At 36.7% G+C, this 13,408-nt stretch overlaps 1 protein-coding gene across 6 annotated transcripts in view; it reads left to right on the forward strand.

The window, feature by feature from the left end:
* The window catches only part of CSRNP3 (cysteine and serine rich nuclear protein 3), a 219,710-nt gene extending 207,344 nt beyond the window's left edge, over positions 1 to 12,366 (forward strand). For all 6 annotated transcript variants that reach the window (XM_047445908.1, XM_024453155.2, NM_001172173.2 and 3 more), the window contains one exon: positions 1,660 to 12,366. In XM_047445908.1, the coding sequence (XP_047301864.1) occupies positions 1,660 to 2,712 (1,053 nt within the window). In that variant the 3' untranslated portion in view covers positions 2,713 to 12,366. The remainder of the gene's footprint in view (positions 1 to 1,659) is intronic.
* The last annotated feature ends 1,042 nt before the right edge of the window (positions 12,367 to 13,408 follow it).

Consider the following 13,408-nt stretch of genomic DNA (forward strand, 5'->3'; position numbering starts at 1 on the left):
ACTGCAGAAAATGAAATTGTACTTCCATCTTTGCTGTTTGCCAACTATATGAAATTGGCAAGTCAGGCCCACTGGGTTACTTTCTTTATCTCTAAAATGAAGGAACCGAACTAGGTCAGGGGTTGGCACCCTATAAGTTCACAGGCCAAATCCGACCTTGCCACATGATTTTGTAAATAAAGTTTTATTGGATCACAGCCACATTTTTTTCTTTACATATTGCCTATGACTGCTTTCTTGCTCCTACAGCAGAATTGAGTATTGTGGTTGCCACAGAGCCCATATGGCCCACAAAGCATAAAATATTGACTCCTTTGACCTCTGCAAATAAAAAGTTTACCAACCCCTGATGACTGGCAATCAGATAATTTCCTGGTCCCCCTTCATTTATAATGTCATTGGTGCGCTATGATTAGTGTCACTATTTTATGCAGAAACTTGGCTTTTTCAATAAGGAAAGCAACTCAGGTAGTCAAAAGAAGAGGGCAGTGCCTATCTGCTGAACAGTTGCTTAAGATGGGTTCACAGAAAGATTCATGAGTAAAAAAAAAAAAAAAATACAGATACAAATTCTGGCTCTAATATCTGCTATACTTTTTACTGGGGCCAAGATGATTGTATTAGAATAGTCTGCCTTCTCTTCTTTAGCATAGGAAATTCCATGGCTGGATAAGGTGACAAGCAGAGCAAGTTTTTTTCTCTTGCCTATACTCTGGTCTGCATACAGATTAATCTGTGGAATCTGAGACAATTGGTAAATCTCTCATGAATACCCTTGGATTGTCCAGAACCCCACCTCTCACCTGAGTGAAGAGGTCAGTCCAACACTTGTTGAACCCAAACACTCTATCTTCGGTATCCAATCACCAAAATAGTTTTGGAATATTGATGAAACGTACATGCCCTTCCTTCAAGAAGATTGTATCTAATGGAATGGAGAGGGAAGGGGGGACTCAGGACCTAAACACATGAGTCCCCCAGTCATAGTCATGAATGTGCATATCCATTGCAGCGCTCCAGTACAGTACACACACATGCACCCATGTACCAAGCACCCCAAACAATAAGAAGGTAAGCAAATGAGAGCAAATTGTGAGGTTGCATGATGCTAAGTTGTGTAAGTCCATTTTATAATAAGCAAAGGGAAAAGCACCTTTATAATAAGCAAAAGCAAAAGGAAAAGTTAACATGGGGTACATCATATATGTTAGATTAATAGCATGTGGAGAGGAGTACAGTAAGTTTGCTTGTTTAAAATCAGGCACAAGAGCTGGGGTGCAGCAGAAAGAAAAGGAACTTGGGGGAAAGACAGGAGCATTCAAAACATGGGAGCAAAATTAAAGAAGTGGAGGGAAGGGAAAGTAGGGAATACAGAAAAAAGGGTAGAAAGCCATGGAGTGGGTCAGTGAACTGAAAATACACACTTATGCCCATAACCCATTTTTATTTTGAATATAGGTATAAAAAGCAGTTAACTCTTATGTTTTAAGCCCTCACTTTCCCCTTTTCATTTCTATTTGAAGTTTGGTTGTCATTTGCTCTGGCATATGTGGAATTAAGTGGATGGATTACTTAATTCAAAGAAGTTACTGAAAAGTTCTGGGCGTTTATTTGGTTTGTAATAGTTCCATGGTGCTAATCTGTGTTCTTCCTTCCAAGGTGGATCGTATGTCTTTCCCATGCGGCTGCACTAAAGAAGGATGTAGTAACACAGCAGGTAGAATTGAATTTAATCCTATCCGTGTTCGGACTCACTTTTTGCACACAATAATGAAACTTGAACTGGAGAAAAACCGAGAGCAGCAAATCCCCACGCTGAATGGCTGCCACAGTGAGATAAGTGCTCACAGTAGTTCTATGGGCCCTGTCGCTCACTCCGTAGAATATTCAATCGCAGACAGTTTTGAGATTGAAACTGAGCCCCAGGCTGCAGTGCTGCACCTGCAGTCGGCTGAAGAATTAGATTGCCAAGGAGAGGAGGAGGAAGAAGAGGAGGATGGGAGCAGCTTTTGCAGCGGAGTCACAGATTCTAGCACGCAAAGCTTGGCACCTAGTGAGTCAGACGAGGAGGAGGAGGAAGAAGAAGAGGAAGAGGAGGAGGAGGATGACGATGATGACAAAGGAGATGGCTTCGTGGAAGGTTTGGGCACCCATGCCGAAGTTGTCCCTCTTCCTTCAGTTCTTTGTTATTCTGATGGCACCGCCGTTCACGAAAGCCATGCAAAGAATGCTTCTTTTTATGCCAACTCTTCAACTCTGTATTACCAAATAGATAGCCACATTCCAGGAACTCCAAATCAGATCTCTGAGAACTATTCTGAAAGAGACACTGTCAAAAATGGTACCCTTTCGCTGGTGCCTTACACCATGACCCCGGAGCAATTCGTTGACTATGCCCGACAAGCAGAAGAGGCCTATGGTGCCTCCCACTACCCAGCTGCCAACCCCTCTGTAATCGTTTGCTGCTCCTCTTCCGAAAATGATAGCGGTGTGCCCTGCAATAGTTTATATCCTGAACACAGGTCCAATCACCCTCAAGTGGAATTTCACTCATACTTGAAAGGCCCCTCCCAAGAAGGGTTTGTCTCTGCATTGAATGGTGACAGTCACATTTCAGAGCATCCTGCTGAAAATTCTTTGAGCCTTGCAGAAAAGAGCATATTGCATGAAGAGTGCATCAAATCACCCGTGGTTGAGACAGTCCCTGTTTAGTAGCTTAAATTATTCTAGGACCAACTCTTCTCTTATTTAAGGCACTGTATTTAATTGGATTTCCTGGGCTCATCATTGTTTAAACTGAAGACCAAGAAAACTTGGACGGTGGTTAATCTTCCAGACTGTATTTTGTTTTTTCCTTTCTAGCCACATGACTGTGGCATTGCACAAATACAGTCTCTGTAGGGATTTTAAAAGATTTCAGACTGTTTTGATAGAAAAAGCTAAATTTTAAAATGCATATCTCACAGTTGCCTACCTGTCAAACTGTGTGAAACCTGCCAATCTGTGTAGATCAGAGCTCCAAATTTTGGATTATCGGGCCTGTGCAAGATTGTTAACTAAGGCTGGGAAATAATAAGATTTAGAGTCCTAATTTTCAATATATCTGAAGATAATGATGACTTTTTAATGTAAAAGTAATTATTGTAAGAAAAAGATTTAATTGTTCCATGTGTATTTTATTTATGGTAGTTTAGAAGACATGTTTTGATGAAAATGAACAGCCGCATGTTCATTCAAGCTGAAGATGCATAGCTAGTTCCACAGAGCATGCCCACATGGATTGCATCTGGAATCCATTCACATTTTTATGATCATGACTGATCAGATTTGCAAATTCTTAAGGGTGAAATAGGCCTATTTTTGCTATTTTGGACAAATAAATGATTCTATATGTGCAGGTCCTTACACAGTTTTCTCTAAAGTTAAGAGTTAGGACAATCCTCTGGGGAGAGTCTAGTTCACTGCCCTCCCTCAGCTGACTCCAGAGATGGAGGTAGAAGGAATTGCCTTTCTTTTTTAAACAGCATCATCTTGATTCTTAGCTTGGACAGCACCTTTAAGCTCTACCCCCTACATCAAAATGCACTTTAGTGCCCCTTCACGGTACCTCGTGTGGGGTGGGGACTGAGAACTCTTTGAGATGAAAAAATTTAAAAAAAAATTAAAAAGATCTTTAACTATTATAAGGTTCATATAATTAATATAGAGGAATCATCCAATGATACTTATGAAGGGAAAATGACCTATTTTCCTTCACCACTCTGAGGACCTAACTCAGTAAATGCAGAGGAGGCTGAGGAAACATGGAAGAGACACGACCTCAGCAACCAGCCTTTTCTCCAGCGTGATCAATCCATCTCTACAAAATCAGTGTATAATGAGATTTCCACTTAGTGACTAGCTGATTGAAGGGGGGCCTCTACCCAAATACTCAACTAGGCCTTTCTTTTCTGAAGCATTTTGATTTGTCTTGCCTGGGACAACTAGCAGAACAGTCCAGAATGCATTGCATACTTTCTAATTACCTCACATTCTCTTATTAAAGAGAACAGATAGAAATAAAACATGCACTCCCCACCTTTAGATTACCTGCACTTGGTTCGTCGGAGGACTTCTAGGATCCCGTTTCCCTGTAAATTAATTTAGGTAACTAAATAGTGTAATTCTGCCTTTTTTTTTCCAATGCAATATGACTATGCTAAACCTGTTTCATATTTTTGACCTTCTATTGTTATATCACTTCACATGTTTTATAACTATTTGAAATGCGGACATGACTTGCTATTCAGTGACTGCATCGCTACTTATTTTTTATGTCTTTTAGACTTGGGTGTTTAGAATTATGGATATAAATATATTGTAGATCTCAATTTCTAAAAAAAATATTTTATTTAATTGAACTTAAAAATGCTTGATCTAGAGAAAGTCCTCCAGTGGAAAAGTTTCTACTAAACTTTGTTTTGGGGAAAAAATGTTTACTTGGCAGCTCTTCCACTGTGCAGTTGGTTTCTGCCCCTTCTCTTCCCCCCTACATTGGGCCAAATTTATAACTCTTAATATTAACATTAAAAGAGCTTTGGGTTTGTCTTTATGTAGGTTGCAGTAATGAGAGCAGGGTTGTTCCTTTTGAATGATTGGCCCTTTGGGCTAATCAGAATGAGGATTTGTTGAAATCTCAAATATACATATATATATATATATATATATATATATATATATACACACACACACACACATACACATATATATACACATATATGTATGTGTGTGTGTGTGTGTGTGTGTGTGTATATATATATATCCCATGTTGTCTGCAAAGTGACAGTTTTTAGTGCTTAATCTCCAAAATTTTCCCCCTACTGATACAATCTAAAGAGCACAGGCCCAAAGAGAAAATGACAAGAGGCTATTGTTCCTTCATTCAAGCACATGAAAGGATCATGTGTACTGTATTTGCTGGACCATTACAAGCTCTTGAAGGATCTGCTTGTGAAGTACTCTGAGGTTATTCTTGGAACACAGAGTGTGGGAGAGTGGGGAAGAGCCAGCTCCAGCCTGAGCAAAGCTGAAGGGTAGAATGACAGTCCAGTTTCTGAAAAGAGATATTTTAATTTTAGTTCAGCTTTATTTTCCTAAGACGATATGAAGCCTACTTTTTTATTTTTGGCTAGGTCTTTGTTTTCTAGCTTTGTTTCCAAAAGGATGCTTAAGAAAACAGAGTTTTTTTCCCCTATCCATTTATCTAGGGTAGAAAGTCACTGCCCTGTGAGAAGAATTACCCTTCCAATCATGACAGCTTCTATTCCAACTTTTCATATACCTGACTAACCTGTAAACATATCCCACAAACCACATACACAGGCTACCTATTAAAACTCTCCCATATACCTAACACATACACATGCACACACATACAAAATATATACATATCACACACTTAGAGAATGACAGATTTCAGGCAATGGCCAATAGTCAGTATTGAGTTTTTCTAACCCCAGAATCTGGTTGGGCTTTATGATCTAAAAAAATGTGGTTTAGAAAAGAGGATAATTGGTAGAGCTGTAGTTTGAAAATATCAGGTCAAAGTTGCAAACATACTTATGATGGAATCATTTCATTTTTAGTTCCTTTCCCAGAAAAGCTGAGAGAGCACACTGTTCCAGCTGACTTTTTTTTCCATTAATAGCCGTTCTATTCAACAAAGAGCTGCCCACATGCCAGGAAAGTGCTACAGTCCTTCTAAGCTTTTAAAAATGGGGATCAAGCTACATGCAGCCAGTTGGAATACTTAAGATCTTTATGCCAAGACACAATAACCTGACCTGCAGCTGTTGTATTGCCTCCATAGTATATCTAGCCAAACTGTAGTCTTTGACACACAACTTTTTAGTCATTCACTATCAATTGCAAAGCTTCATGCTCCAGCCCTGGCTATTCTAGTACCAGTCCTATACCTTTAAATGGGACTTAATTCCCAGTTATAATCCTGGCCGAATTGATTTGAAAGTCAAGTGGCTGAAGCAGCTTGCATCTCCTTTGTCATTCCCAATTTCCTTTGGGAGAAGTCAATGAAAGAGATTTACTTAAGTTTTTCCTCCTTATCTCTTGATCATTAATTATTAAGACATGGGTAAAATTCATTTGTCTCATGTCTTTTGGTTGATTGAATAATATAGTTACTTTTTGAAAGCCCATCATTTCTTTGTGATAAAACCATTTTCTCAATGTGACAGCCACATGTAAAATGTGAAACTAATGTTTCTTAGTATGTTTAAAATCTTCACAATCATATATGGCCCTGCAATACTCCCTGAATTCCTTCCCTCCAAAAAAAAACTATGAGTTGCAAAAACACTAGTTACGAATTAATCAAGAAGCAAAGAGAGTATGTTAAGTGGCTATGTTCTTTAAAATTTTACATTCTAATAGATGACTTCTAGGCAAAATTTTGGTATGATTACCATTAAACAGGAAAACATACCATGATTTACTTTCTATAACTTGCTAATCACTGTTTCTTTTATTTCAATTTTTGATATTGTTGCACAAGTTTATGACTCTTTGGTCTTTATATTCAAAATTTATTAAGTATCAATTCTTTCTTTCAACAAATATGTACTGAACACATGCTGTGTTAGAACAACTGTCTTGGGTAGTAAAAAGAGGGGAACACTACAAATTATAATGGATAATATTAATGAAGGGTGGCATGAAATAATCAAGCTTTCTCAAATCCTCTTAATATGTGATTTTATCAAGTGACATTAGAAAAACTGACATCAGTTCTTGTCTAATTATATGTGAGCTGCAACTAAAAGATGCTTCCTTTACCTAAATTATAGAACTCACTGGATCGCCCTTCATCTCTCTCCCTCCATCTGAAATGTATGAATTAAATCAGGACTCAGCTAGGACTGAATCAAATGAAAAAGAAATTTTCGATTAATTGCTTCTTCAATGTTAGACCTATATAAGTGATGCTAAATTTACACCAGCAAACTCCTATCAGACAGTTTCAAGGAGGATTTGACTCATGCATAACCCAGGAAACATTTCAGGAAACTTTTAAGACAACAGTGTGGAACACAATCACTCTTACTTCTATTTATAAAAAGCCTATCAAAACAGCAAAATCCTGTTGCAAATTCCAAAGACATCACTTTGCAGCAGGTGGAAAACAGAGAGGTTGTTAGACTCCATCACTTTCAGCTGGAGTTACAAACCATCAAATTAGCAGGTGGAAAATTTATATTCTCAGAAGCCAACAGGAGACTGCCTTTTTAAAAGGTGTCATGAAGCCTTCTATTTCTCCAAACAACTCAATATTTCTCTTTAAAATGGCATCTCTGTTCCTTATTCTCTTGATGACAGTTTGCAGTGCCATTATAGCCAGTGTATTAAATACCAGGCTTTAATGGGAAGCACCTTTGTGCTTTCAAAGGCAAGACTTGTCTGTAATTTTAAATTAGAACTGTTGGTTGTATTCTTACCACAACCAAAACCCAAAGTTTAAAGGCTTGATTACTCTATATTAGGTCTAATATGAATTTTCACCTTCTGATTGCATTACTTTTTCTGAAATCTGCTAACTAGTGCTGGAATAACAAAAATGCCTAAGCCAAAATGCTGTAGCTCTGCACCAACAGCACAGCTCATCAGATGTTTTCTATAGTAGTAAAGAATTTGATTGACTTAATTGAATATCAGCAATTTTAATACCCACTAGAATTATGGAAGTATCAGAGTGGAAGTGAGGACGCAATAAAAGCTTAATAAGTGGTGGTGTCTTCTAGGAATTATGAAAAAAAAAGCTCAGCAGAGCTAAGCCAGATCTTATTACATCATAAAGACTAGAGTTACAAATGGCAGCCCCAAACCTAGAAGGGGCAGTTACAATGTGGACACCCTTTCAGCCCAGTTGGTGCTCACATCTGCTGACCAACATTCATATCAATTACATTTTTACAGTCTGTAAGTCATTTGATGCTTTAGAAAATAAAAACACACACCTACAGCATTCTAAAGAAACTATTTTGTTAAAAAATTTAAACACATTTTATATTAAAATAAGTGATCAATGACTTTCATGATTGTCAAAAGTAAAAAGTGCAGACATTTAAAAAAGCTCTTCTTTCACATTTTACCTACCAAATCTAGATATTCAACGTGAGTCCTTAAAACAGTCACTTCTAAATTTTATTTTGACTCCTTTCTTGGCTTTTTCAAACTGGACCATGAGACCCCCTTCCTAAACAATGCAGTTGTTTTGTTTTATTCTTTTTTTCCAGAAATTCAAGCTGAAACATTTGATATGACCTGTGTTTTACCTGGTGATCAGTTCTCAGGCTAGTCTAAGTCTGTGCTGTCTTGGCATGCCTTGGGTTTCCTATCCTGAGAGTGGTAATGCCAGTAGAATGATGGGAACCAGGAGAGTGAATACGACCAGATTCAAAGCCTAAAACAATATGTTTCAGTTTACTTTTATATGTAGATTTTTTAAATATTCACATCTAGCCTGGAATTTTAGTAAATACAGATACTTGTTGTATCCATGGGAAATGAGGTCATTTCAAAGATGTAAGTCACGTTGGTGACTACTTTCTTTTACTTGTGATAAATATATCACTATACAGGGTAATTGCTTTTATAAATTTGATCCTTTGCATTGGCTTATAATTCAAGAAATGTCAACTTCACTGTGTCACTTTATGTCATCTCTCATAAAAGTTTCTGGCAGGACTAAAGTTTCAAAGGAATGTGATAGAATTTATTTTGGATAACATTTGTATTCAGCATGCTAATGATGTAACTCCTCTCTTTATCATTACCACGGTGATAGTTAAGTTCATTCGTTAACTCATTTTAGTGACATGTGAGGCCATTTAAATATTTTTAAGATAATGTATATTGATTAGAAAGGGTTAGAAGGAGACAAATTTATGGTAGAAATTAGCCTTGCCATTGTCTAAGTTAATTTATGTGACCTGATTGAACAGTTTTAGTTGTAACTTTAGAGTAGCTTCTTTGTTAGAGGATCTCTTTCCTTTCTCTTTTGGTTTTCTCCCAATATTTTTATCTGTCTTGGGATTATCTTAAAAGGTATTTATTAATGAGTATTTGGAAGAAAATTGACCTAGAAAATGTCTCTTTTAAATTTATCTAGGTACTTGTATCACCAGAGACCTTCATCAAGTCCTACTGCCACACTGGATAAGGCCACTACCCCCGACCCTTCTTGTCAGGGACATGGCTTCCTAATAATGGTTTTGCTGTTGTCTCTACATAGGGGACCTATGGAAAAGGAGTTTGAAATTTCTACCTTTGTAGTACATTGTATCCAATTTTGTTTTGCTCCTCCTTTTCATGTGGTCACCAAGCTTTTTTCCTTAGCCATTAAAAAAGCCACCCCTCTTTAAAACAAATTTAAAGATCTATATACATTTTTGCAACTTTATTTAATAAAAAAGAGAAGAAAAAATAAAATCTAAATCTCAATTACCCTAAAGTGGAAAAACCTAAGTATCTAACCTAGGAACTTGTTGCCTGGTGGTGGTTGTTGTTGTTGTTGTTTTTTAATTTATTTAGTGTTGATCCTTGAGTTATTTAATGGTATCCAAATGATATCTGAAAGTGATTGATTTTAAGATGTAATAGTTGGCAAAGTCATTTCATTTGTGTCTCAAACAAATAAAGCCCACTGCCATGGGTTACCATCTGAACCCTGATTCATTAGGCACTAGTCATGCCAAATGGGGATCTCAGAATAGTTTAATCTTTTCAAAGATACTCACAATGGCCAACTGTGTGTGAATACTGGAAAGTTTGAGATTCTTCTATATTCTTCAAATTTATGGTCCTGAGACTAGGAGGGATCTCCAGAGGTCATATGGCTCATCGATCTACCACCAGGGAAGACTGTCACTTAGGCATGCCCAACAGGAGAGATCGCCATCTATTCTTAACATCTCTAGGGAAGGCAGTTTCCTTGGCAACACAATTCAGCTCTCTTAGGTTTTCTCACAATAAGAAAATATCTTGGCCAGTCTTTGAGGGTTAGGCACCTGGCAACAGTTGTGGTGATTTGGGCCATTGTACTAGGGGATTCAAGGGAAGTTGGGTTTCCCCCTACATTTGGTGATTATTACATTAATATATGATCATTCCATAAGTCTCCTAAGAAATCAGATTTTTAAAGAAAGACACGGATTCAGAGACAATGGTCTGTAACATGACCAACTTTTGACAAATATGGCTGTACTAGGTTTTCATTTTTGCTGTTGTTGTTGTTTGTTTTTGTGATTGCTCTTATGTCGGTAGGTAATGTCAGGAAAAGTGACTGTTTCAGATCCCCAGTACAAACATCAGAACTAGGATCAAATGACTTGACTTTTAAGCTGTTCCATTTTCTAAGAAGTTACAATTACAAAAAGTAAGCATTTTCTACATTCTTACTTCTAAGTAATGACCTTCTCATTAATCTTTCCTTGGCTTAAAATGACAAATAAGAATCCAAAGTTTTTCCACTCCTCCTGTGGGAGATAGGAATAGTTGTGAAGAGTCTGATGGAATAAAATGACTCCAGAGATTTACACAGCCACCATTTGATCCCAGCCTTTGTCCTTGTGTTATTTAAACAATGGCTTCCTGCTTTCTCAGGGGTCAGGAAAATGATTTAAAAATTTGTCTTCTTGACAAGGCCTGAAAACGAAGGGAGGTGTCGTGGAGAAATGGTGATTTTTCTGGTTACATCACTTGATTCAAGCACTCCCTGGAGCTTTCAAAGCCTTTTTTATCTGCTCAGAGTTGACACCCAACTCAGAGTCAGAACTCACCAGAAGATGAGGAACACCCCCGAAATCAATGTTTCCTTTCTCCATGGGATTTTTTTCAATCTTGGTACAGCTGCATATCTCCCAAACTCGGATGCTCTTGTGAAATGACAGCCACATCAGTGTGGTTACTCCCCACAAATAACACTAGGGGGAAATGACCTTTTTTATTTAAAAAAAAAAAAAAGGCTAATGCTATAGAATGATCATGTAAAGAATGTTGAATAAAATTTGGCCCATGTTTTAATTGACTCTAGGCACCTCTATTGAAATAAGTCTGAGGCATAGTTTGTGAAACATGTTTCAAAAGTGTTTGATGTATAATAAATGCTAGAAATTTACAGTACAGAAATAGTAAAAAAATAAAATAAAAATAAACCTGTAGATTACAGCTCTGTTCCTAAGAACCTCAGCCTTTATTGTGTCTTAGTAAAGTTGATCTGCTTTATTTTTAGTTTATTGAATTTCTGGTGTACTAGCCTCTTAAGATAGAACTTTTAATACATATGTACTGGTTAATGCCTGTTTACGCAGAAAATGGCACTTTGTTCTTTCAGTGTGTTTCCCTCAGTGTCACAGGGTATATCAATTTGATAGATCATTTGACATTTGTCAAAAATACGTTTCCCATTTTAAAAATATGTATAATTGGTTGCATAGACATATGTCACTTTTTGCAGTGTCTTCATCTTGATCATAGTTTTAGACATCAACTATGTCTCACTTTCCAACTGCCATAGAAATTTGGTACATTTGCAAATTCTGGTGGAATCTAGTGAGCTGAATGTATTGGTAGATCAAATGATCCAAAGGACTTGGGTGTTATCCTTCAGTCTGTGTTGAACCATTCAGATATTGGGAATGGTCCTTACACAAGGGAAGTCTTTTGAGAATATTTGTTCTCTTATTTTTTGTTTGTTTGTTGCTGGCAAAAAAAAAAGTAACTTTAAAAACTCAGAAAAGCCACTGAACTGTATTTTGTGACCTTATGATTAGTTTTATCTTTCAACTGATTTTTATTGTTACTTTTACTCAATATCAACAGTACTTCAATAGATATTTATTAGTTATGTTCAATCTAATGACTTAAAACAGTTGAAAAGGAGGAAAATCAACTCCAGTCCACACATACAGTCATGTTACATTAAGATGTCATGTTGTATGTCACACAGTTTCTAGATTGATTTCTCTTGTGTATAAGTTATAACATCAAAAATGCCAAAGGGTATATAAAATAAGCTACAATAATATTCAACAGAACTTAACCTGGACCTTATGTTGTAATAATTTATTCATATTAGCTGTAGTCTTCTGTATTTATATTTTCAGTATTTATTATGAATGACATGGAAATTCGTGTATTTATTGTGGCTTTTTATTGCAGTGTGTATATATATATAACAAATAAGCATTTTTAAGTCTTATCCTTAAGTTTCTTTTATTAGTGGCACTTGTATTATGCTGTACTTTTTATTACATATTGTACAATATCTTGTCCATTTGTTTGCAGCAGAGTAAAACCGGTTTCTAAGTTGTATCTACTGTTGCATTTCTGTTGCCTGTTGTGTAAAACCTTTGTTCTTACATCCTGAACTGCAATCCGTTACGCTGTCCCAGCACACACAAGGATACCTCCCTTCCACTGTGTAACAGATAATATTCTTGAAAAGTTGTGTGTGAAGTCAGTTCCTGTGAAATGGTTCATTACATTGTCATTTCAAATATGTGTTAACTTTATTGGGATTTATCCCTAAGTGAAGATGCTTATAGCACTTTACTTTCTCAGCTATTCAACCCCTTCATCAAGTGATGATGTGTAAACAAACACAAGGGCCAGAGGAGAACTCTTTATGTAAATGAAATTTGGAGGCTATTTTTACAAGGACAAATTCAATCTCTTGTAAGTAGTATCCTTTCACTTAACTGCTTAGTAGTATTTTTGTTTTGCTTTGCTTAAAGCAGAATCTGTGTGATTTGATGTTTAGAATATATGCGTGTGCATGGTACGTATATGTGCCCAACTGTTTAAAGCTACTGGCTTAAGGTAACTAAAACTTAACTTTTATTGGCAGTAGGATGAAGGAAAAAAAATTGCATTTTTTTAAATCTCCTATCATATCCAAGACACTTTCTTCCAACAACTTGTTTTATATTTAGAGACTGGATCTATATTTTTAAAAGCAAATAATAATATGTGATTTTGTGATCATCCTAAAACTCAAATTTGAACATGTTATTCACTGAATTAAACATATTTTGTGGTGTTCCCTCCTCACTGCCAACAAAACAAAATTCAGACTCCTTGGAATGCCTCACAAGGTCGCCTGAGATCTGGGTACAAGCTCTCCCTTTACTTCCCACGTCTTCTGCTGCCCACAAGAGCGGTTCCTTAGATTTCACCTGCTAGTCCATTTTCCCTGCTTCTGTTCAGCTTGTCTCTTCTGCCAAGAATATACACCCCATAAACCTATCCCGACAGCACAATTCTAGTGACCATCTATTTATTTATCAAGAGAAAACACAAATATTCTTTCCTTTATGTTGCCCTTCCAATACTCCTGAAAATCGTTTGCCTGTTG

The sequence above is a fragment of the Homo sapiens genome, chromosome 2 (genome assembly GCF_000001405.40).
Source record: "Homo sapiens chromosome 2, GRCh38.p14 Primary Assembly".
NCBI classification, from domain to species: Eukaryota; Metazoa; Chordata; class Mammalia; order Primates; family Hominidae; genus Homo; species Homo sapiens.